Source organism: Homo sapiens, chromosome 1 (genome assembly GCF_000001405.40).
Source record: "Homo sapiens chromosome 1, GRCh38.p14 Primary Assembly".
Classification (NCBI taxonomy): domain Eukaryota; kingdom Metazoa; phylum Chordata; class Mammalia; order Primates; family Hominidae; genus Homo; species Homo sapiens.
The window spans coordinates 169,435,423-169,461,787 of record NC_000001.11 but is presented as its reverse complement, the minus strand read 5'-3'; the positions used below and the strand labels follow the sequence as shown (position 1 = coordinate 169,461,787).

Here is a 26,365-nt window from a genome sequence, read left to right as displayed (position 1 = left end):
ACATTGCAAGTACTGAGCAGGGATTTAAGAAATGAGTTTCCTTCCCCTTGCTCTCCATTTACAACTAATTTGTAGCTACCAATTTCAACATTGCACTCTCAAAAGAAACTTTGAATGTTTCAATCGAAATGAAAATGATCAGAAGCTTTCTAAATCCTCCCCTTATTTTTAGTTCATATTTTGGAAAGCACCTGTGAGGATACAGAGATGAAAAAGTCGTGGTTCTTTCCCTCAAGGACCCTAAGATGTATAATTGGAAAAGATAAGTAGAAAGGATAACAGAGGTACACAACTGCAATACAAGATAGGTATCATAACAAAAGGCTTCGGTCTGGAAGAGAGAATGAGGACACTGGGAAAATCAGGAGTGGCTTCCTGAAGATGGCATTTAAGTTGACCATGCAGGATGGGTAGGATTTTAACAGAAATGTGGAAAGGGGAACTGTGTAGTGGAGAAAGGGCCACAAGTGAAGATATGAATGCCAGAAAGTGCAGGAGATGGGTACAGTCAACAAGGAATATGTGTAGAAGAGTAGGATGAGATAGAGTTGGGAAGACAGCGTGAGTCATTTTGTAATGATTATTAACTGGAGATGGGGATGGGGAGTAATGACTAAGCTTATTTTTAAGAAATTTAATCTGGCAAAGATGGATATGATGAATTGTATGGGAAGATACTACCTAAAATTGCTAGCTGGATTGCCATTGCAATTGGCTGGGTGTAGTAGGTAAGGAAGCCCTTTTATGACTTAAGGCAGTGGAAAAAACGAAAACAGGACTGATCTGAGGTTGCTAAATTAACATTCTACAATGTGTGTTTACGTTTCAAAAAGTAGCTTAGAAAGTTTAAATAACCTGCCAAGATTACACATCTATGAAGCGGATAAACCAGGATTCTGATTCCCACCCTACCCGGCAAATTAATGGTCACTTTGGCCCCAGTTCCACTGTCAAGTTTGTAAGATATTAACCGCAGTGGGGAAGGGTTGGGGGAGTAGGCCTTGCTCAGAAAGCAGAGCTCAGAAAACAATGCCAGGCAGGGCAAGAGCAGCCGTCAGATGGGTGTGCTGAGTATGTCCCACGATGGGTGGGTAAGTGGCAACGGAGTGAGGTGTCTTGGGGTCCAATTTGTGCGCGTGGAGTGAGACAGAAAACCTGGAGCCCGATCTCCCGGCCAGCGACTCCCTCCTTCTGGGTGTGCGGCTGAAGACTGGAAGCAGGTTGCCTTGCCTGCTGCAAGCCCGCCGTACCTACCCCTTCTCCGCGTGCGCCCCTCCCTGTGCCTGCGCATTACCGGCTAGCCGGCGGCGGGCGCTGCAGCCCCTACGTGATTCTGCGGCTCACTCCCCTCGGATGGTCTTTCCACCCGAGTTTTTCCCGGGAAGAGGCTCTCAAGACTAGCCAGTGCAGGAGGAGGAGTCGAACTCTGGATAGCCTGTTTATAAAGCCCTAACTGTGCCGATGTTGACCGTTTTCTGAAACTCCTCCTCCAAAACCCACGCCAAACCACAAGATGAAGGAAATTCACACATCAGGTATTGGGAAGGGCGTTGGCTGCGGTCTGTGACGTTTTAAACGTCTTCAGTAAACGGTACTGACCGCTACAAATCACCCACTGAAATAGTTTATTATCGAATTGTCTTCCTTTAAAATAAGTAAATAAAAGGGGGTAACAACCCTTTCCAAAGGAAAATCTTACCCTCCAGAAAAGTCTTTCAGAGGAATCACAGGCCCAAGTGCTGTCCCAAATGCTGAAATGTTAACAAAAACTATTTAATATTTAAATATTTAAAACCTCTAAGTTTGCTCATCTGTTTGATATAGTTCTATCTGCTCCTGCTTCCCCTCCGCCTCCTCCTTTTTTTTTTTTTTTTTTTTTTTTCCTAATTTCAAACTGCGTAACTTGACCATTATTCCCCACAGGATGCCAAAAACCATGGAAGACTTCTGATGTTCTGGGAGGGTTGACAAAGATGGACCTTAAATTCTAGGTCAGTACTAATCTCTAGGATCGAGCACTTGGAGAAAACAGCTACCTGGAAATTCTTGCTTGTGTCTTATGCTTGACTAAGTAAAAGGCCGTATCCCAGAGAATAGCCATAGTGGGAAATTATCCAAGTAACCAACAATAGGCCTCAAGGTCTGTTTTTATCTCCAACCCTTGTAATTAACTCCCAGTTATAGTTTTTTCTTTTTTATTCTGTGCTCCTCACCCTGCTATTTTCTCTGCATTTTGGGCTCCTTTCCTTAGGTATAAATACCATACCTAAATATGCTTACCCGTAAGTCATGTCTCTATATCCATTTTAATAACAAGACATGGTTATGTCTAATGATGAAGGGATTCCAGCATTGAGCCAGGGATTCTGGACCGGGGCTAAGGTGCTCCCAGATGGGTAGAAATTCTAGCTTCTATCAGAAGCAATATTTCAAAAATCATCTCGAGAAATCATTTCCTCTTAAGCCTCTGCATTGATAGAGTTATCCACAGTGTGGAATAGGAAAGCACAAAGAAGGGGACACCTTAATTTTGAATAACTAGCCTCTTAGGAAGTGACCTAAAATCCTATTTCATAATGCAAATAAAATTTTGCTACTTGATTTTGTGTTTGGCAAATATTCTGGTTCCATGATTATTTTATTATTTCATAGTTTTAAAAGCATTATGTGTTTATGGTAGGAAATTTGGAGAAATAAAAAAGCATAATAAATAATTATTGCCCTTTTTATTTTATTTTATTTTTTACTCACTGCTGTACAAACGAGAATGAATAATTATTTTAATATTTGTCAACTGCAATCCCATATGCATGATTTTTATCCTCTTACAACCCCCAAGAAACCACAGTAGAGTATAAGAAGTTAATAGGACGTTTGGTGGACTATTACTCTCAGATCAAATAAATATGTAAAATATTTACTATTAGAAATTAATTATTAAAAATTAAAGACTATTAAAAATCACCAAAGACATAAATAAATAAGCAACTGCAAGTAAGAGTCAGCAGAACAACAAACAGATTAAGAGTCTAATGATTTCAGATATTGGAATTATAAGAGATATACAGTATAAAATAAATATGTATAAAATTTAGATACAAAAGATGAAATCACAGAAATGAGCAAGTACCAAGAAAGTAACAATATGACAAGACTGACTTGAAAAAGAACCTAAAGAGATATTTTAGAATTTAAAAATAGAAATGTTGGGAAGCTTCCAAATTGGTGAACACATCTCTGTGCCAGTAGAGTGCCTACCCCAACTCCATGGGGACAGAAGCTCCTGCACTCAGGACCCTTCTAGATTTCCCCTGTGTGCCTTTTTATCAAATTGTTCATTTATATCATTTATAAGAAACTGGTAAACATTTAAAAAAACAGAAATGTTGAAGTTAAAATTCCATGGATAAGATCTCATAAATTGCTGGTGGGAATGTAAATTGGTACAATCCCTTTGAATAACATTTTGGCATTATCCTTTAAAGTCAAATATATGCATTTCCTATGACCGAGCAATTCACCTCCTATTTATATTTATAGGTTGGTGCAAAAGTAATTGCGATTTTGGCCATACTTTTAAATGGCAAAAAAAACAAAACAAAAAAAAAAAAACAAAAATTACTTTTGCCCCAGCCTTTGGTTGGAGCAGCACTTTTCAATATGGTAGCCACTAGACACTTGTGACTAGTGAGTACTTAAAATATGACTATACAGGAATGAAAATGAATAAGCCAGAACCACAAGCAATAATTTTAGTCAATCTTAAATAAAACAGAAAGACACAAAAGAACTAAGACACAAAAGAATCTATCAATACAATTTGTTCAAACTATTGTCTAAATATTTATATATAGGTGACAAAAATATAAAACAATTATCATAAAAGTCTAGCAAATGTTTATTTCTAGAAAGATGAAGAAAGGTATACTTAAGAAGGGGCACACAGATTTCTATGGTACTTGTGTTGTTGACTTGGAATATTGTACATGTATATTTGCTATATAATTACATATTTATGTTCTTTTTTGTATATTTATTAAATTTAGCACTAAAACACTTTAAAAAGCTCAATGGCTAGGTTAAACAGCAGATTAAATACAGTTAAAGATAAAATTAGTGAAGTGGAAAGTAAAACTGAAGAAATTACCTAGTATAGTAATTCCTCTATGTCATGGATAGGTTCTTAGAAACCGCATCTTTAAGTGAAATGATATACTGTATGCTATAGGAACTTAACTCTTGTTTGTATCAATTAGCCTATGGTAAAATTGGTTTGATTATACAGTACATCATTTTTCTTAAAGTTGCAGTTTCCAAGAACCTGTTAATGATGTTAAGTGAGGACTTACTGTATGTAGCAATGAGATAGGAGATTAAAAAATATAAGAAGAGGTTAAGATATAAGGTGAACAGAATGAGAAGATCTTATAGCCTCAGAAGGAATGAATAGATAGAATGGAGGAGAAGCAATATTCTATGTTAAGAATGAGAATTTAGCAAAACTGACGAAAAACATGAATCCACAGATACAGGAATCAGAGTGTATCCCAAGCCAGATATCTAAAAACTACTAGACACATAATAGTTAAATTACAATTAACTTAGGACAAGGAGAAGATCATAAAAGCAGCCAGAGAGAAAAGACATCATATATAAAAAAAGAATCAGTTAGCTAACAGCCATTTCTCAAGAGCAACAATGGAAGCTAGAAGGCAACAGTAATGAAATTACTGAAGGAAAATAACTTCCTACCTAAAATTGTGTACCCAGAAGAGTGATCTGTTAAGAACTAGAATAAAAACAGTCACAGATTTTAAAAATGGAAAAAGTCCATGCCAGCAATGGATTATCCAGGAGAAATGAACAAGACCCTAATAGGAAGGTCTCACATACAAGAAGTGAGGATGAGATAAAAGGATAAGCATTTAGATAAATCCAGATGTCTGAGTCCAGTTTCTTTTGTTTATAACAGAATACCTAAAACTGGGTAATTTATAAAGAAAAGGGATTTATTTCTTACCATTCTGGAGGCTGGGAAGTCCAAGGTTGACTGCATGTGGTGAAAGCCTTCTTTCCAGTGGGAACTCTACAGAGTTCAGAGTTCAGAGTTCCAAGGCAGTGTGGGGTATCACATGGCAAGAGGACTGAGCATGATAATGTGCTAACTTAGATCTCTCTTTTATTATAAAGCCACCATTTCCCCTCCCATGATAACTCATTAATCTGTTAATGGACACATTTTTTCATGAGTGCAGGCCCCATCTCTCAATAACTGCCACATTGGGGATTAAGTTTCAATATGGGTTTTGGAGGGAACATTGAAACCACAGCACCAAACAGTCATTAGCTTTACTAATTAATAATGATTATTTATTCTGTGGTTTATATTTTAAAATACTATACATGAAGAGTATATAAATTGGGCTTATGCGAGGTACTTAGATACAGCAACAATGCAACCTGGCTTTGTGAAGGGTTGCACAGTGCATCTGTGCTCCCCACCACAAAACACTGCCAGGAAACTAAAGATGATGATCACATTAGCTAAGTGAGAGTTAAGGAGGAGCTCTTGAATAGTTCGGCAAGGTTCCTAGCCACTTCCTACAAAAATTGAAACTAAGCCAAAAAGGGAGGAAGAAAGGATAAATCTTCAGCCAAAAAACTGCAAAGGAAAATGGGGAGCAAAAGGCAAACAGGCTGAAATGGCCATCTAAGAAACTAAAGACAACTTTCCTGCAGAAAGTAGAGAAACTAAAACTGAGGAGGGTCTAGTCTTTAATTAAGGAGAGAAAAAAAATCAAATCTGATTAATATAGTTACCAAGTCTTATGGTTCCTGTATCTTCTTCATTATAATCTGGATAAATATTTTTATTACCTATGTTGTAAATAAAAGATTGTTTAAATAGCTCTAAAAACACATATTTTAGAAGGAAGTTGTGTGTGTGCACAAGTGTGCATGTGTGAGTGCACACCTGCATGTATGTACTTTCTTTAAAAAAAGAAATGATATGCCTGTAATTTTTCTGTACAACCTAAAATGTGAAGATGTCAACATAAGGGAGGATTTGACAGTCTTGGGTGTTAACTGTATTGGCTGCTAGGAAGGGCAGTTTTTGTATCTTATGAATTTAACAAAATGGCCATTAGCAGTCACAATTATCCACTAATATCTCTGAATATTTTAAATTACTTAAAGCCTATCTCCATGTTCTTGCTTTAAAAACAAATAGAATTGCTCCTAAAGAAAACTGCTCCCTCATTTTGGCTCTCCATATATCAGAATTGTTAAAGTTTGGAAATTTTGAAGTATAGCAGTATGATACTAAATTGTTAATTAGTGGGGCTTTAAACCTAACAGTTTATCAATATTTGAAATTACTAGGGCCTGATATATTTTCTTAAGGAAAGTTTGCCTCTAGCTTTAAGTTGGAAAGTCACTACAATTACTGTTTAGAAAAGAATGGAATAATTAATACTTTAGAAAACTTACATTAGGACTTGTTTACAAATTATCCATAATGGCTATGTACTGATTGAATAAAATCTCAATTATGAAAGAAAAAATTTAAATGAAAACATACGAGCCTTGAAAAAACCCAAATATTCATTTTCCTGTCAATAGACAGGAAAATTAAAACAAAACATAAATGCAAATTAAATATATTACTAATTTAACTCTCATTTAGTCAATAGACAGGAAAATGAATAGAAAAAATTTGGTATTTTGTGATAGCGGAATGTTATACAGTGGCAAAAAACAAATGAATATAATTGCATACAGTAGCATTTATAAATTTTAGAGAATAATTAAACTGTTGAGAAAAAAACAAGTAGCCGTCTATGTTGTATTGTACCATTTCAAAAATAAAGCTCAAAATCAAGTATGTAAATCAAACAACATATTGGTTAAGAATAACACACATAATGGATAAAACTTTTTCTTTAAAGGCATGTAATAATATACTTAAAATTTGTGATAGTGGTTACCTTTTTTGGTAAGACAGGGAGATGGAATAGGTAGGTCATGAACATTGGTAATGTTTTTAATTTGATAGGTAAGTTTTATTATTTTATACTTTTAAATTTATATGCCAATATATTCTTTTGTATGTATCAAATACAACATTTTTTAAAAGAAAAAGCAGTGTGAACGTCCTGTGAATTTTGATTAGTATTTCTATTATACTCCTGCTTTCCCTGCCCAGAATTTAGGTATTCATGGTTGAGATCCTGAAGAAAACATTTTCTGCTGAGCAGAAGCAATTTAATAATTGCCTCCCTTCATTGTAAGTTTTTTATTTCTTCCTTATGTCTGATTAATCCCCCAATATAAACTTCAATTAATTGAGCAGCTCTGCAAAATATATGAATAAAACACCACATATTAAGATATTATATCTTTTGTAAAATCTTTTTTGAGTTGGCAAGTAGTTTTGTGTTGAATTATCTATACATAACTTTACATTATTTAAAGAGGGAAAATGAGTAGGAGTATTTTTATTCCATGGCATAATAAGGCAAGGAATAGCCATTCCACCCATGTTGCCTATATATATTCCAATAGTGTTGAAATATAGATTTCATTTTCTCCTTATTAAAAACATGAAGTGTTTAAAAAATACATCTAAAAGAAGGAGGCTGTGCCTTTGTCTGACTACCGCAAAAATAGCCTTGTTTTATAATGAGTACATTCTAAAAATGGGAAAAAGTCAGTTCTTGGTTTAAAATTGTTTCAAGAATGCATCTATTTGGTCCTGAAGAAGGAGGGGACATCAAAAGCAACAAGTTGATTAAGACTGTTGAGAATCCACATGTATCATACAGATGGCAGTATCTGGTGTCCCTTTGAAAAGAAGCCCACCACAAGTAAGGTGGAGGTAATTTCAAAATTCATTTAACTGGGATTTGTCAGCTATGCAAGTGTCTTAATAGACTTGAAACTATTGTGGCAATTGTGATCCCAGGAACACATTTTCTCTCTGATGCCCACTGGTAGGGAGGGACATTCACTTTATGCTCTTTTAAATGCCTTTTGTTAATGCCAAAAAAAAAAAAAAAAGAATTATGTGTAGATGTGTAGAGAATGAAAAGTGAGAAGTGTGGAGAATCGTTGAGGAAGGATGAGAGCAAAGAGCAAAAACGAAAATAAAAGTGAACTTGGGGGCAATATTTCCAAGATGAGAGGCTCTGATCCATGTTTGTAGTCAGGGAGGTCCTTGCTGTATTATGAAGCAGAATAAACCAAAAAATATGGCCTCCCCATTAGAGTGGCAGATTCTGTGTCATTCACATTCTTCTAGGAGAGACTGAATGACCATATATTTGTATATTAGACTAGGAAAGGGTTGTATGAAAATCTAGCAGCTTACATAAAATCATTTAGGGGGTCTTGGGAAATAAAGAGAAGTTTCACATACATTACTATTTAGTGTGCATCAAGATGTAGTTATGTTGTAGTGTCCATACAATATTTTTCAGACATGGTGACTTGCTGCTGTTTCAGATTAATATTAATCAAATTATGGCTGTCTTGACATTTCAGAAAAGTCTAAAGAATTCCAATAGAAATACAATGTCCTTTTGAATTCTGTTTTACCCTGTGTAATAAGGAGGTTTTGTTCTTGGATATAGTAGGAATCTACTGTAAAAGAGTGCATATTTTGCTGATTCATCTTCCTATCTCATAGCGTTTCTTTTTTTTTTGTCGTTTCAATTCTTTCTCAAGTCTATTTTGCTTCACATTGATTATGTATTTCTTCAAAAAATGAAAAAAACAAGTAGACTACAGCCAAAAATAACTATATTACTTCATAAATTAATGACTAGAAATGTATAATTCTTGGTACTTTTCATAGTGCTTTAGACTTGAATGGGTCATATTTTGTCATTCCAGTTCTTCAGGATTTAAGAGAAAAAGGAAAATAATTTTTAATTCAATTTAATTATTTTTGTTATACTTGAAAATAATGTTTTGTTCAAAATTAAAACAAAACATAAATGCAAATTAAATATATTACTAATTTAACTCTCATTTAGTCAGAATCCAGAAGTGTCTGCAGCCAACCAAAGAGGGAATGTTTGATGGACAGAAGTTGGAATGGAAGGAGAAAATGGCTTATTTTAGTTAAAATGTTTTACTTTTGGAAATTTTTTTAAAAACTTATTTTCACATATCACATAAATACATTGTTAGGACCCCTCCCAGGGCCATAGAAGTGGCCTGCACAGGTGAGAAGCCCTGAAACTTAGACTTCATTAGCTTCATGATAAATCCTCCTCTACTTGAATTCCTGTGCCATTCTACCTCCTGCCCCATTTCTTTTTTCCCCTTTAGAGTAAAACTCCTTGAAAAGAACTGTCAGTACTGCTGTCTACTTTCTGTTCTCCTATTTAGTTTAGAATCCCCATCATTCCACTTAAACTACTGTCAAAACAGTGATTCCTAATCCTCTTTGTATTTCACCTGTCAACAGCAGGTTTGATATAGCTGAGCATTTTTTATTGAAACATGTTCTTCCTATGGCTTCTGGAACATACCTCTTTCTGGTTCTTTTTCTTTACCTCACTGGTTACTCCTGGATCTCCTTTGCTGGTTCTTCCTCTTCTTCCTGACAGCTAAACTTAAGTGTAACCTAAGGTGTAATCCTGAAGCTAAGTTCTCCAATCTCTTTTTTTTTTTCTTCTCATCTACATTTCCTCTCTGTCTTCCCCCTGCCCCATGGCTTTATGAACCATGTCTACGCTGATCACTTTCAAATTTATATATATCTAGTGCTTTATTATCTGAATTCTAAACTTACATATTCAACTACCTAGTTCCATATTTACTTGATTGCTTAATTAATCATAACATAGTCAAAAAACAACTTATCGAGTTCTGGTCACCCACGCTGGTTCTCTTGGATCTCAGTAAACTGCCGTTCTTTCATTTGCACAAGCTAAAAGCCATAAGTTATCTTTGACTCCTCTGTCCTTTCACTCACTCCTTACCCTATTAGCACATTATCTTGACAAAATTTCTCTACAATTTTCATGTCATCTTTTTTTTTTCTTTAAATTGCGCCAGCTTGGGTATTGTGTAATTCTTTGTGATGTTATTTATTTATGCTTGTTACCTGGGTATTGTTTAGCCTGGAACCAGGGAAAGGGGTAGAGTCTGAAACAGAACTATTTGTTCTGCTCTGCATTTTCCTGCTTCCTCAAAAAGAAGAAAAAAGGGAGTGGCAATCATTATAACAGTTTGCTGTCACTTTGTCAAAACATATTTGGTTTACTGCCATGTTAGACCAGATAAAGACAGGCATAAAAGTAGTTGTGATTTTACATGTTCAGCCTTTAGGATTTCTGTTTATGTGCCACTCCCTATCAACCCCATTTACAAATTGTGCTACTATAGTTATCTTTGTGGCTTACAATGGTCCTAAAAGCAAATTTTATGCTAATTATTACCATTAAAATAAAAATTTTTTGGCAGACATCTGGTTTTAAAGTGGCAGTACAGAAGCAAGCTGGTTTCACTGTCCCCACAGAAAACCAAAAATATACAGAGCTGTGATTTTCCCCAGCAACAGTCCAGAACTCATATATGAGGATGAGACAGATCCTAGGGCCATAAAGAAAAAAACTTCTTTGGAAAAAAACTCCAAGCAGATGGTAAGAGAATTGGACTTCCACATCTGTAATGTTCCCCCACTCATTCTGCCCAGCAACAATTGTATGAAAAGGAAATGCTCATTGGAGCATTTTGGATTTCAGATTTTTGGATTAGGAATACTTATGTGGTATGTATTCTGCAAACATTTTAAAACCTGAGAAAAATAAAAATCCAAAATACTTAGGTTCCTAGCATTTTGGATAAGAGGTGTTCAATCTGAATATGAAAAGTTCTTAACAGTATTTGTCATTCGGGAAAAGCAAATTAATGCCAATGAGATAGCAGTATACATTCACTAGAATGGTTGTAACAAAAAAAGCAGAAAATACCAAGTATTAACAGCTGTAGAGAAACTGGAATTCTCATACATTGCTGATGGGAACATAACACAGTACAGCTACTTTTGAAAACAGATTGTTAGCTTCTTAAAAATTACGTACAAACCAACAATTCTATGCACAGAAATCTAACCAATATAAATAAACACATAGGTTGACACAAAGACTTGTATGCACATTCTTATAGCAATAATATTTATAATAGTCAAAGGTAGAAACAACCCAAATGTCTATCAGCTACTGAGTAGATAAATAAAATGTGGTATATTCATACAATGAATTCTATTCTGTGATAAAAAGGAATGAAATACTGATACATACCATAACGTGGAGAAACCTCAAAAACATTATGGCAAATGCAAAAGACTCCATTGTTAGGAGGCAGGATGGTGGTTTCCAGGAGCTGAAGGGAAGGGAAAATGGGAAATTTGTGTTTAGTGTGCATAGTTTCAGTTGGGAGACATGAAAATGTTCTGTAGATAGAGGGGGAAAGTAACCATTATAAAAGTAGGCCTAGAACATTCTCATAACAAAGGCCTACTCTCCAGGGAAAAATACATTATCACGGCCTTATCCTCTGTAGGGGAAGGACAGTTTCTTCAACTCTAGCTTCCTCTTGAGCCCTTCTGTTTCACCTACTGGGATGGAGGGAGAACCTAAGAAACACTTGTAAAAGTCACAGCCCAGGGACACAGGCCAACTAAAAAATTGAAATTTAATCATAAGATTCTAGAATGAATGATTCTCTTCATACTTCACCCCCATATCAATCGGGCTCTATTGTCATAACTGAATTATAGCTGAAGGAGCTGAAAAACACAGACTCTCTTGAAGAGGAGTCCTTAGGAAGTGTGATAGTTAATATTGAGTGTCAACTTGATTGGACTGAAGGATGCAAAGTATTGATCCTAGGTGTATCTGTGAGGCTGCAGCCAAAGGAAATTAACACTGGAGTCAGAGGACTGGGAGAGGCAGACCCACACTCAATCTGGGTGGGCACAATCTAATCAGCTGCCATCGCAGCTAGAATAAAAGCAGGCAGAAGAAGGTGGAAAGACCAGACTGGCTGAGTCTTCCAGCCTTCATCTTTCTCCCATGCTGGATGCTTCCTGCCCTCGAACATCAGACTCCAAGTTCTTCAGCTTTTGGATTCTTGGACCTACACCATTGGTTTGCCAGGGGCTCTTAGGCCTTCGGCCACAGACTGAAGGCTGATATTGGCTTCCCTGCTTTTGAGGTTTTGGGACTCGAACTGGCTTCCTTGCTCCTCAGTTTGCAGATGGCCTGTTGTGGGACTTCACCTTGTGATTGTGTGAGCCAAGACTCTTTAATAAACTAACTTTCATATATACATCTATCCTATTAGTCCTGTCCCTTTGGTGAACACTGACTAATACAGGGAGGCCCAAATACTATAGGAAGGAAAACGGATACTAGAGAAATTGGAAGCTTATGGCATGTGCAACTTCAGCAAACATCAAATACAACCCACCTCCTAGCCATATTAAAACAAAACCTCACACTTAAGGCCTATTTACCTCAGTTCCTAGTATCTGATCATGTCTAGCTTTCAACAAAAATTTACAAGATATGCTAAAAGACAAACAAAAACAGTCTGAAGAGATAAAGCAAGCATAAGAATCAAACTCAGATATGACACAGACATTGGAATTATCAAACCAGGAAGTTATGGTTAATATTTAAGGGTTCTAGTGGAAAAATATAGACAATAGGCATGAACAGAAGGGGAATGTAAGCAGAGAAATGGAAACTCTAAGAATCAAAGGGAAATGCTAAAAATCAGAGACACTATCTTAAATGTGAAGAATGCCTTTGATGGGATCATCAGTACACATGGCATAACAGAAGAAAAAATCCACTAAGCTAGAAGATAGGGAAACAGAAAACTCCCTAACTGAAATAAAACAGATAAGTGAATTTAAAAAAGGAACAGAACACCCAAGAACTGTGGAACAATTTCAAAAGATGTAACATACACATTGTTGAAATACCAAAAGAGAAGAAGGAGTGAATGGGACAGAAGAAACATTTGAATTAATAATGGCACAAGAACATTTCAGAATTAATTATAGACAGGAAACAACAGATCCAGAAAGCTCAGAGAACACCAAGCAGGATAATTACGAAAAATCTACACCAGGGCATATCATATTCAAATTTCAAAAAACCAAAGGCAAAAATATATTGAAAGCCACCAGATGGGAGATTAAGGACAAGAATTGCAGCAGATTTCTTGTCAGAAACCATACAAAAAAGAATAAAATAGAGTGAGATATTTAAAGCATTGTAAAAGAAAAAAAAAGCCCTGTAACCTATAATTCTACATCCAGTGAAATTATCTCTCACAAGTGAAGAAAAATTACTTTCTCAGAAAAACAAAAACTGAAGGAATTCATTGCAAGCAGATCTACCCTGTAAGAAATATTAAAAGAAGTTCTTCAGGGAGAAGGAAAATGACATAGGTCAGAAACTTAGTTTTATATTTAAAAAAGGAATGTTAGAGAAGGAATAAATGAAGATAAAATATTTTATTTTTCTTATTCTTAACACTAAACTTTAAACTGTTTAAAGTAATAATAGAAACAATATCTAGCATATGGATAAGTGGAGTGGATGACAATGATGTCATAAGGGTCAGAAAGTAAGAACTGGGACAACTCTGTTATTAGGTACCTGCACTACATGTGAAACAGTATACTGTTATTTGAAGTTAGTTTTCAGTTAGTTTTAAGTTTGTTAAAAATATATATTGCAAACTCTGGAGCAACTAACTTTTTTCAAAAAGAGGAGAGGAGATAAAATGGATAGTATAAAATGTTCAAAAACAAGACAAGGCAGAAAAAGATATGAAAAAAGTAACAATGTTACAAAAAGCCCACTTTAAATATGAAGACATATATAGATTAAAGGGATGGAAAAAGATATACTATGCTAACACTTAACAAAAGAAAGATGAAGTAGCTATATTGATTTCAGACAATACAAAATTCAGAACAAGGAAAATGATCAAGATAGAGAGGCATTACATAATAAGGAAATCAATTCTCCAAGAAGATATAAGAATCCTTAGCATGCATCTAACAACAAAGGGTTAAATTACGTGAGACATATAGGCAAATATACTGTAACAGTTACAAACTTCAACACCTTTCAGTAAGTAATTCATAAGTCAAACAGGCAGAAAGTCAGTAAGGATATAGTTGACCTGAATAGTACTATCAATTTGATCTAGATGAACTTGATGTAATTGAAATTTATAGAATACTTCCACAATGGCAGAATACACATTCTTCTCAAGCTTGAATAGATATGTATTAAAATAGGTTACATTTGAGCTACAAAATACAACTTTACAGGCCAGGCACCGTGGCTCATTCCTACATTGTAATCCCAGCATTTTGGGAGGCTGAGGCGGGTGGATCACCTGAGGTCAGGAGTTCGAGACCAATCTGGCCATCATGGCGAAACCTTGTCTCTACTAAAATTTCAAAAATTATCTGGGTGTGATGGTGGGTACCTGTAATTCCAGCTACTCGGGAGGCTAAGGCAGGAGAATTTCTTGAACCTGGGAGGCAGAGGTTGCAGTGAGCCAAGATTGCATCACTGTACTCCAGCCTAGGTGACAGAGCAAGACTCTGTCTCAAAAAAATAAACCAAAAACAACTTTTAAGAGTATAGAGATTACACAAGTTATGTTCACAGACTATACAGGAATTAAACTAGAAATAAGTAACAAAAAGATTGCTCGAAAGTCTCCAAATATTTGGAGATTAAGCAAAATACTTCTAAATAACATGTGTCAAAGTCTCAAGATAAATTAGAAAATATTCAAAATAAATGAAAATGCAACTTATCAAAATTCGTGGGATGCAACAAAAGCAATGTTTAGAGGGAAATTTATAACATTAAGTACACATGGTCATTTCTCAGTATCCATGGGGATTGGTTCCAGGGCCTCCTGCAGAGACCAAAATCTGCAGATGTTCAAGTTCCTTTTATAAAATGGTGTCATATTTGCATATAACCTACATACATTCTTCTGTAAACTTTAAATCATCTCTAGATTACTTATAATATCTAATACACTGTAAATGCTATGTAAATAGTTGTTATAGAGCATTGGTATTTAATTTGTATTATTTTTATTGGTTTTACTTTTTCAAACATTTTTGACCTGCATTTGGCTGAATCTGCAGATGCAGAACCCATGGGTATATGGAGGGATGACTGTTTATTAGCAAAGAAGAAATATTCAAAGCCAGTAATCTAAGATTTCATTTTAGGAAGCTAAATGAAGAAGGGCAATTTATTTACTTATTAATTTTTTTTTGAGACAGAGTCTTGCTTTGTCACCAGGCTGGAGTGCAGTGGTGCCATCTCACCTCACTACAATCTCTGCCTCCTGGGTTCAAGCAGTTCTCCTGTCTCAGCCTCCCAAGTAGCTGGGACTACAGGCGTGCACCACCATGCCCAGCTAATTTTTGTATTTTTAGTAGAGATGAGGTTTCATGATGTTGGCCAAGATGGTCTTGATCTCTTGACCTCATGGTCCGCCTGCCTCGGCCTCCCAAAGTGCTGGGATTATAGGTGTGAGCCACCGCACCCGGCCTAAGAAGGTCAGTTTAAACCTAAAGGAAGCAGAAGAAAAGAAACATAAAAATTAGAGGAGAAATCAACGAAATTGATAACAGGAAAACAATAGAGAAAATCAATGACACCAAACAGCTGGTTCTTTGAAAAGATCAATAAAATCAATAAACTTCAAGCCAAACCAACCAAGGACAAAAGAGAGAAAACACAAATTACCAGTATCAGAAATGAGAGAGGAATCATGACTATTGATCCCATGAATGTTTTAGGATAATAAAGAAGTAATATGAACAGCTCTATGCACACAGATTTGATAACTTAGATAAAATGCACTACCTCCTTGAAAAACAATCTGAATAGACCTATATCTATTAAAAAAAATAGTGTCACTAATTAATAACCTTCCAAGAAAGAAAGCACTAAGCCCAGATTGTTTCACTGGTGAAATGTACCAAATATTTAAGCAAGAAATGATACCAATTCTCCACAATCTCTTCTAGAAAATAGAAGCAAAGGGAACACTTCCTGACTCATTCTATAAGGACATCATTATCCTAATGCCAAAAACAGACATTATAAGAAAGAAAAACTACAGACTCTGATCTCTCATGAACATTGATGCAAAACTCCTCAACAAGATTAGTGAATCAAATCCACCAATGTACAAAAAGGATGATATGCCACTACGAAATGAGATTTATTCCAGGTAGGCAAGGTAGTTCAACATTTCAAAATCAATAAATGTAATCAATGACATCCACAGGCTAAAGAAGAAAAAATAATGTGATCATTTTAATGATGTAGAAAAAGCATTTGACAAAACCCAATACTCATTCATGACAAAATCTCTCAGCAAACGAGGAATAAAGGGGAATTTGCTCAAACTTTCTAAAGAGCATCTACAAAAACGCTACACCTAAAATCATAGTGAATGATGAGAAACTGGGCATTTTGTCCCCCCTAAGATCAGGAACAAGATAAAAATATCCACTCTCATCTGAACGATAGGAAGGAGCCAGCTATGAAAATATCTGCAGAAGATCGTTCCAGGCAGGAGGAAGTATCAAACATGGGAAAGACCTTGTTATACTTGAGGAAGAAACATGGCTAGGATGATTGGTGCATAATGAATGAACTGGAAAGTGGTAGGAGGTGAGATCACAGGGTGAGAAGGGGCCTGATTATGTAGGACCTTGGAAGTAAGGTAAGGAGTTTGTATTTTATTCTAATAGCATTGGAAAGTCATGAAAGGATATAATCTGATTTACATTTTTGAGAGTATTCTGGTTGCTGACATGAACCTCTCAATTGTGGCAATCCGTAATCTTGGGAGATAGTCTCTCTTTGCATCTGGATCCAGAGACAAGATGTGCTCATTATTTGCTAATGCCAAAGGTACTCTTGCATATCTAAGTTTTGTAATTAGCTTAAGAAATGTGCCAAGGCCAGAGAAGAAAAATATGTAGCCACCACTGCTTTTGGATTGTCACTACAAGACATGCGGTATTCAAGAGGCAAAGGTGAAGATAAAATATTTGGAAGAATTCAAATTTAAAAAAATCCCAATTTTTAAAAGCATGTGGTTTTTGAAGTGTAGTTTGTCAAACTATTACCAAGAAAATGTGACAATGCAGAATCATCTTTACTGAGATTTACAGTTATGCTTTTAAAAAAGTTTAAGGTCATTGTAGGAAACAACCATTAGGAACGTGTCTGGACTTTGCTGTAAAAATGCTACTGAAGGCCCTGTCACTTACATCACTCACTACCCCTAATAAAAATGCCACCTGAGAAATTACTTTAAAAATTAATGCGAGGATAACAAGTTTTTCCTGAGGAACACTCGTGATTTCTTCTTCCTCGTGCAAGAGCTAGGTATTGTAGTACTGTATTTTCTTTTTAAAACTGGCTGCTTAAAACCTGAAGCTCTACACCATCATAGGTGTCAAATAAAAAAGCACTATCCTGATTTAAAGGTTCAAGAGAGGAAGTTTTCCCAATGAAGGGTGTTGGCACTTTTGCTGGATCCGTTTACTGCCTGGCTTTTTGCCATAAAGGTATCTTCAGAAACTGAGCAAACTTAGGGTTAGCATATTGACTTCCTCTTCGTCTGTATTTACCATTCACATCAATGTTACTGCAAGCAGCCTCAGATCTGTTTGAGAATAAGTTGAGTATAAATTTAACCACAGGCAAATTTTATAACTATGTCTATTACTGTTAATAAACCAAAATGTACTTTTAGTCTTTCTGTGAAGTGATATTAACAGTACAGAATATAAGTGAATATGAATATGAGAGACTTAAAAGAACTTTTATAACAACAGAGCAAATTAAAGAGCATTTTCCTTGTGTATGTGAGTCAGTTATTCTTTGCTTTAGCACGGCACATGAGCAGAAGATGATTATTCTTATCGCTAATCATCAATACTATTTATATACCTTAAATGGAGGCTTGGTGTTTAGCTTCCTTATTTCTTAATTTTTGCTTTTGATGTTAAATATTTTTGTCTGGATGAAGTACAGCTTCTGCTATTAATCTGCACTGAGAAAAGCTAAAACTATAGGACATCTTAGTAAATGGCACTTAGATTCAATGATATGGGTAGATATTTTCAAGGAGTAATTATTAGCCAATGAGGCACCACTTATAAACAGAGGGTTTTCTTATTGATAATTTAAAAAGTAAATTATGTTTGTTGATTTCTCAAAAGCTAAATTCTGATTCATTTCGTTTCTTTTCCATAATTTATTCCTATTAAATCCTTCTTCAGTTAAGGTCGATCACAAGACTTCTAATCACATACTGAGAAAACAAAAGCATCACTGCAGGAAATCCCTTTAAACTTTTGCCTTATGGCAAATGGACATATGCTCAAAGGTGCTGAACACATGAAATAAGGCTGTAAAAATCTACTAAACAAATGAAAATAATTACATTGCAAATGCTTTTTTCCTTAGAGCACTTGTTTTAAGAAATGTATTTCTGGAATACAAGCTAGAAGTGGTTTTGTCCTGCTGCTGAGGGTTAAAGGCAAACTTAAGGTCTCCAGCCTTTGGTGTGACACATGAGAGCGAATAACAAAAAGAAGGTCTTGAGTTTTTTGATAGTTAGGCATATTTTCATTATAATGGTATCCAGATATGTGATATATCTGATATATAATACACATATAGACACATATATGTCTCTCTATATATTTGTATATAGGTAGATTTTATTATATGTGAAATCTGCATATAACTATAATGAAAGTCTCAACTGTTACCTCAATAACCTTTAACCTGACTACAATATTTAAAAGTTCAATCTCACTACCAGAACACACCCTGACACTTCTGATTCTATTTTGCTTTATGTTTTGCATATTGTTTGTCAACTTCTATCATATGACTTAGTATGTTTATTATTTATTGTCCTCTCTCTCCATTGAAGAGAATTTTTGATTCCTTAAAGAAAATATTTCTCACATGATCAGTTTTTTAATTTACAAAATATCTCAATGTCAATGTACCCATTTCAAATATATGTGTGTTAAACATTACAATTATAAAGTCTTTGTGTTCTATAAATGAATGTGCATTAACAATAGCATGTACAGGTGTAAAATTCAAAAAGTAATCTACTTAAAACATCTCACCTCTTTTCTTTCCCTTCCTTTCAAGTTATCACATTCTACTTTCTGGACTAGAAATTCAGAGATCTGAGCTTATTAGAATAAAGTAAATCAAAGGACTGTGAGAGATTTTCACAAAAATTGCTCAAACTTAACTCACAAAACTTTTTAATGGCTTCATATTATTGTTTTCAAGACATTTGTACTTTTTTTTTGCAACTGGGTTCTAGGTGGTTGAAGTAATTGACTCCTAAGGAATATATTAGTTTGCTGATATATTCCAAATATATAAAAACAGTGTTTTGCACATATGTTCTGAATAACTATTTTTAAGTGATTTAAAATTTCATGAATCTATGTAGAATCTAAACATTTTTTATAAAGTGTGTTACTTTGAACAGTTTTATAGGAGATGTGCATGGTCACATGTTCTCAATTCCTGGCACTCAACTTATTTAAATTTTCTTCTTGGTTACCTACATTAAATAAATATTGCTTTTCTAAGTGAAATCATTTATTCAAAATGTAGAGAGTTGCCCAACTTTATACTGTTCTCTTCCTCATATTGTTTACTTATTTATTTCTATACATAGTATAGTAAATGATGACAGATAATTGGGAAGTATTATCTATTTCCGGGATCATATTTCAGACTATGCACATTTAAAATTTATACACGTAACTAGTATTAAACAGTGGAGAGGGAAGACACATGGCACTGTTTACATATATTGATCTTATATTTGTAAAATCTCATAGTCCTTGATGAGTCATAAATTCTAAATACATTTTTCAATGCCTATAGTTGAAATACAGTCATCTATTGATATCTAGTATCGTCAGAGTTTAAAAAGCATAAAGCCCATCAAAGGAAAAGTCCTTGAATAAGAACCAGCTTCCTTTGCTTCATGTACCTACTTCTTGCTAAATCACCCTGTTCTTACATGTTCTTAATTTTCTTCCCTTGTATAGTTATCGATAGCCAGAGGGTACCCACTTTAGAGGGGAGAAGGAAGAAGACATTAAATGGAATGTGTAGGGAGAGGGAGAGGGTACCTAGAACTGCTGTATTCTATAAAATTGCAAAGTATGTCATTAACATCCCCTCATCATTCCTTCCTCACCTACATGCAAGTTCTGTGTTTTCATGGTGCCTCTGATTATCCTAATTTACTAGAGTTCTGCACTTTCCCAAAATGCCCCATTTTAGAAATTTATTCCTCTCTCTTCCCTGATCAAAAACACTAATTTCTTCAGTAACTTCCATTTTCGTGATTAAGTATCAGAAAAAGTGATGAACTTAATAGCATAAAGCACGTAAGTTACTCACAAATTATTAGTTCATGAGTTCAGTAATGTGAACTCAATAAATATTCATTAAAGACTTAAATATATATACTACTAAGTGTACAGAAATGCCTAAAATGCCATTGCTGCTTTTAAAGAACTCACAGTTTAGCAGAAATATGCTTAACTAGCCCAAGGTTAGTATTAGTTTTAATGGAAACTTTTGTTCACAGATCAGAATTGCATTAGCTTTCACAGTATGTTTGTAGTATTTCAGAGGCTGCCATGGGCAATAAAAAATAGATTTCATGTTACGCCATACCTCATCTTGCCTTTTTTTTTTTTTTAGACAGTCTTGCTCTGTTGCCTGGGCTGGAGTGCAGTGGCATGATCATGACTCACTGTAGCCTCCTGCCTCCTGGGTTCAAGTGATTCTCATGCCTCAGCTTCCCAAGTAGCTGGGATTACAGGTGTGCTCCACCATGCCTGGCTATTTTTTTGTTTTGTTTTGTTTCTGTATTTTTAGTAGAGATGGGGTTTTGCCATGTTGGCCAAGCTGGTCTTGAATTCCTGGCCTCAAGTAATCCGCCTACCTCAATGTCCCAAAGTGCTGGGATTACAGGTGTGAGCCACTGTGCCTGGCCCCATCTTGCATGTTTTGAGCCAGCAATTCTGAATTACCTAAAGATCCTGGAGTTAACTAGTTGATGCCTCTATGTCTTGGCAAATGCTATCATCTCTATGTACAATGCCTTATCCTTTTTGCACAATTCTTTTTATTCTTCAAAACTCAGCTCTGGGAGGCTGATTTGAGTGATAATAAAACTCCAGTCTCCCATACAGCCGGCTCTGTGTGAATTACTCTTTCTCTATTGGAATTCTCCTGTCTTGATAAATCAGGCTCTGTCTAGGCAGTGGGCAAGGTGAACCTACTGGGCAGTTACAAATTTGGGGGCTCCTCTGGGATTGCCCTTGTTGCTACCTGCCTGTGGTTTGGTATCCGCCTCCAGCGATGGATCCAGAGGTCAGCCCAAGTGGGCCTAGTTCTCTTGGACTGGGGGCTGACTCTGGTACTCTCTCTACTGGTGGGGTGCTGCCAACCCAACTGATATGGACAGGAGGCAAGGAAATAGCGGGTAGAAGAGAGCAGTTCCCCAGAAAAGGCCCCACCCTCAAGCCTGGAAACCCACGGCTCTAAATGGGAACAGGCATTCCTGTTTTCACATCCCAGTGTTGCCTTTTCCAAGACCACTCTTGCTCACCATGCCCCTATCCTGTACCCATAAAAAGCCCAAACCCCGGGATCCACAATCAGAAGAGCAGCAGAGTGGAGCAGCAGAGAAGAAGAGAAGAGAAGAGAAGGAGCATCTGAACGTTGAGAGGAGTTCGGCTGGGGATGGTCAGAGAGGAGATGGGATGGCTGAACTTCAGGGAAAGATCATCTTATCACTCTATTCCCTTTCCAGCTTCCCACCTATCCCTCTGAGAACCACCTCCATCACTCAGTAAAATCCCTGCATTCACCATCCTTTAAGTCCATGTGACCTGATTCTTCCTGGATATGGGACAAGGACCCGGATACCAAGAGGGCAGGGTGTAAAAGGCTGTCACCCTGACTCCACTGAGCTGGTGTAACACTTAGCTGTCTGTGGATGGCAACTGCTAAAAGAGCATTAATTGTAACACACCCCGAGATGCTACTGTGAGTCCTGAGACCAAACGTGCTCGCCCTGGCTCCTGCACCTGCCTGTCTGCATGCTCCCCATCCTGTAAGGTATTTGAGCGCAGTGGCTGAGCAAATGAGCTGCACCCCTGTCACAAGTTCCACGAGGGAGGGGGTCAGGGAACTCTCCCATTTCATAATATGAATGGATTTAATTGCAAGAGAGAAATAGTTCTGGGGAGACATCTCATAACAGTAGCCCTATCACAGGGTGTCTCTCTGTAGCCCCATGGTGGGGTGTCTGTAGCCCTATGTATGGTAGGGTGTCTGTCTGCAGCCCCATTGTGGGGTGTCTGGGTTGGTGAGTATCCTAGGAGCTGCAAACACCTTCTTCCTTCTCCCAACTGGTCTTGTAGCCCCATGGTGGGGTGTCTGTCCATAGCCCCAATGCAGGGTGTCTGTAGCTCTACCATGGGGTGTCTGTCTCAGTTCAGCTCCTTTGGGGGTCTTGGTTTGGATATAGCCCCACTGTGGGGTGTCTGTCTCAGTTCAGCTCCTGGGGGGGTCTCAGTTGGCTCTCCCTAACTAGTAGGAAGAGTCTTGGTTAAGGAGACTTCTCCATCAGGAAGATTTCAGGGAGATTTCTCAGATGGAGAATAGGAGGATAGTTTGGAAGGGATACTCTTGGAGTTGTTGGTTAGGGATCAGATTTGGAATCCTTCTGTCTGTCTCATCTTTGTGTGTTTTTGTATATGTGAAGGGGACCTCTGAAGAAATTGCTTATGGAAGTCCAGCAGACTTAACTCAGAACCCCCCCTTATTTATCTGGTCACATTTGGTGATCCCTAAAGAAAGCTCAACAGGCCTGTCTCAGGGTGGCTATTCGCTCTTCACCTTGACCAGAGATCCCAATGTGAATTACCATCTGGAGGTGATCCCTTCCCATCTGGAGTGGATCAAAGACAACAGGGACCAACAGGAGAAAGTTTGAGCTTTGTCAGGTTGATATTGGGTGCTGAACAAGGTGACTAGTGTCTGTTTTGTTGTATGTATTTTGCTGGGATGAAAAATGTTAATTCGGTTCCCCATGCAGACCATTGGGCAGCATCTTGCAAAACTGAGAATCTTTTGCCTATGGCTTCATAAAACAGAAAAGGATGATTTTCTTTTTTTAAGTGGCTTGACCCTCACAGCTATGGCACAGCAAGCAGGGTCATCAAAAACTGCTCCATTCTTATGGAAGCTGCAGAGAAAGGGAACCTGAAAACCTAGTATGCCGGCAGAAAGGGTAAGAAATTCTTACCACACGAGTTTCTGGTCTCTCTGTGTGAGTCTGTTTGTGGGTGTGTTTGTAAGTGTAAGTGTAACTGGTTGTCTCCTCTGCAAGGGTTTGATTAATATATTTAAAAAAAAAAGGATTTGTGAGGCTAGTCTTAGGCTGTAGCAAATCTGGTACACTTTGTGCTAAAAATTTGTCTTTATATAATGGAGAGAGGGATATCACAGGATAGAACATGGGTTTAGGACACCTACAAGCCTGCTTTTCAAGCCAGCCTGGCAGGCTGGTGAGGTACAAACTTTGCTGCAGGTCCGTGAAACCAATACCAGATGAATTTTCTCTATTTAGTTTTGTATCCTTAAGAGCTTAACCTTGTGACCATGTGGAAATACTTTCTTTTGGTCTCCAGAGGACAGGAATTTTGGGGTTCACGTCATAGTTAGCCCTAAACATTATCTTGCAAATGTTTACTTTTAAAACTGGGCATTGCACTACTTACCCTAGTACTCAGTATTTACTTTATAGTACACTGTTCCTTTAAATGTGGTACTAAAACTATAGATGACAATACTAATGCCTTTGCCATGCAAGCCTTGGAACCACAGCCAGGTCTGCATGAGTATGCTCAGACAGTTGCAAAGTGGTTCCACTCCTCTCTTCTTGGGTCAACACCTACCACCACTATGCCCCTGATCAGCAGGAAGAAGTTAGAATGGTCTTCACTAGCCAACACATTAAGATTAACATGTTATAAAACCCAAAGGGAGGGATTGAAACTGCCATTGCAAAATTGTAACTGAGACAGTGAAAGGGATGTGACCTAACCGACTCCACCTTGTTTCTAACCTCCAAGCTGTCCTTGTTCATTCCTGGGCATAGGCTGAACTAACTTTGGGAGGAACTTAGTTTATAGTTTATCCCTTTCCCAAAACAAATTTCCTTCTTGCCTGGGCGCTAGACTGCCTTTGTAGGACTAACATTAGCCACAGGATTAGAAATTATGGTTTAGGAATCATGCAGCTAGAGGCTACAATATTTAAGGATACACTGCCCTTAAGATCAGTACCTGAGACATTTTGCAGACCCTGCACTTGATGGATCAGCTGGCACCACTCAGATCAATAAACTGGCTCATCTGATCTTGTGGCCCCCACCCAGGAACTCAGTGCAAGGAGACACCTTCGACTCCCTATGATTACATCTCTGACCTAACCAATCAGCATTCCTGGCTCACTGGCTTACCCCCACCCACCAAATTGTCCTTAAAAACTCTGATCCCTGAACGCTTGGGGAGACTGATTTGAGTAATAATAAAACTCAGGTCTCCCTCCCGCCAAAAAAAAAAATGTCAGCTCTGATGTCAACACTTTGTAGAAATCATTTTATTGTCACTCTCCTCCTAATTAATTCCTCCATTTTTCAAGCTAAATCTGTACCTTGTGTGTCACACTGTGCTCCCTTTGTTTAAGCCTATTTTCTTTTTCAGTCTGTGAGCTCTTTCATGTAGAAGTTATGAATTATTCACCTCCCAGTGGGCCCAGAAGTTAAGGAGCTCAACAGGCTAAATTGAATGAAATTATTGAAAACTAATAGTGCTCTGCCTTACTAAAGAGGTAATAGTGAAATCAACCTTTTTTAGAAGCTCAAGATTGTCACTATAGATTGTGAATTACAGATGGTGAATGATTGTACGATATTGCAATTTAATGTTTGTCTCTGCTTGCCGTTAGAAGAGACAAAAAAATTTTCTTTTAGTCTAGGTCGTCTTTGCTTTTCATTCTTTTTATTTTTTGTTTTCTGCATGTCAGTCTGTCAACCTTTGAGAATCACTTGAACTCAGGAGGCAGAGGTTTCAGTGAGCCATGACTGTGCCACAGCACTCCAGCTTGGGTGACAGAGCCAGACTGCTAAAAAACAAAAGCAAGATGGGGTATGGCATAAGATGAAATCTATTCCTCACTGTGCATGGTAGCCTCTGAAATACCACAAACATACCGTGAAAACTAACACAATCCTGATCTGTGAACGAAAGTTTCCACTGAAACTTATACTGTCTTTGGGATAGTTAAGCATATTTCTGCTGAGCTGTGAGTTCTTTAAAAGCATTTTTTTTTTCTGGTGTCAGAGTACCTACTTTTAACAACACAACTGTTTTTCTTTTTTGAAATTATCACGTCCTAATTTCTGGGCTGGGAATTCAGAGACCTGGGTTTATGAGACTAAAGTAAGTGAAAGGACTGTGAAAGACTGTCCTAAAAATGGCTCAAGCTTAGTTCACAAACTGTATTAGCTTTGCATTATTGCTTTCACATCTTTTACACTTGTTTTTGTTTACAGCTTGGTTTTAGGTGGTTGAGATAACTGGAACTCTGACTTCCATTTAAGTGGGGATGTTATTATGATTTTTACACTATCCATTTCACCTTTAATGCTCAGTTATATCGCACAAGGTTTCTATAATTGTAATATTTAACATTTATTTGAAATTGATACATTAATATCTAAACCTTTCATAAGTTAAAAAATGTTTGATAATGTAGCAACTATTTTTCTTACAGAATTCCACACATAATTTTAAAAATTTTATTATTTTCATTTTGGAATATCAATAAAGATACTCTAGAACCTACTTTCATCCTTTTGGAAAACTATGTAATGTAATAGTCCCTGTTAAGCACTTTGTATGCATCAGGCACTGGGCTAAGTACATGGATTAACTCACTTAATCTTCACAAAAATAAGGCAAATATTATGATCTCTATGTTATTGATGGGGAAATTGGCCAGAAATTAAAATCTTCTACAGGCTAGTTAAACATAGGAGATATGAGCCATATATCAATCAGTCCTGGAAAACCCATTTTTCTTACATGTTCAACTCCACAGTTATGGTTTGCCCACCATTCCATTAATAC

The 26,365-nt window shown here is 36.7% G+C and overlaps 1 protein-coding gene across 3 annotated transcripts in view; it reads left to right on the top strand.

Moving 5' to 3' along the window:
• The first annotated feature begins 1,118 nt into the window (after nucleotides 1-1,118).
• CCDC181 (coiled-coil domain containing 181) overlaps nucleotides 1,119-26,365 on the top strand; it is a 65,800-nt gene continuing 40,553 nt past the window's right edge. For 2 of the 3 annotated variants that reach the window (NM_001300968.1, XM_005245383.1), the window contains exons 1-2: nucleotides 1,119-1,535; nucleotides 1,924-1,991. The gene's annotated coding sequence lies outside the window, so the exon portion shown is untranslated. Of the gene's footprint in view, nucleotides 1,536-1,923; nucleotides 1,992-7,207; nucleotides 7,289-26,365 lie in introns of all 3 variants that reach the window. The other variant, XM_017001938.2, reaches the window with a different exon arrangement.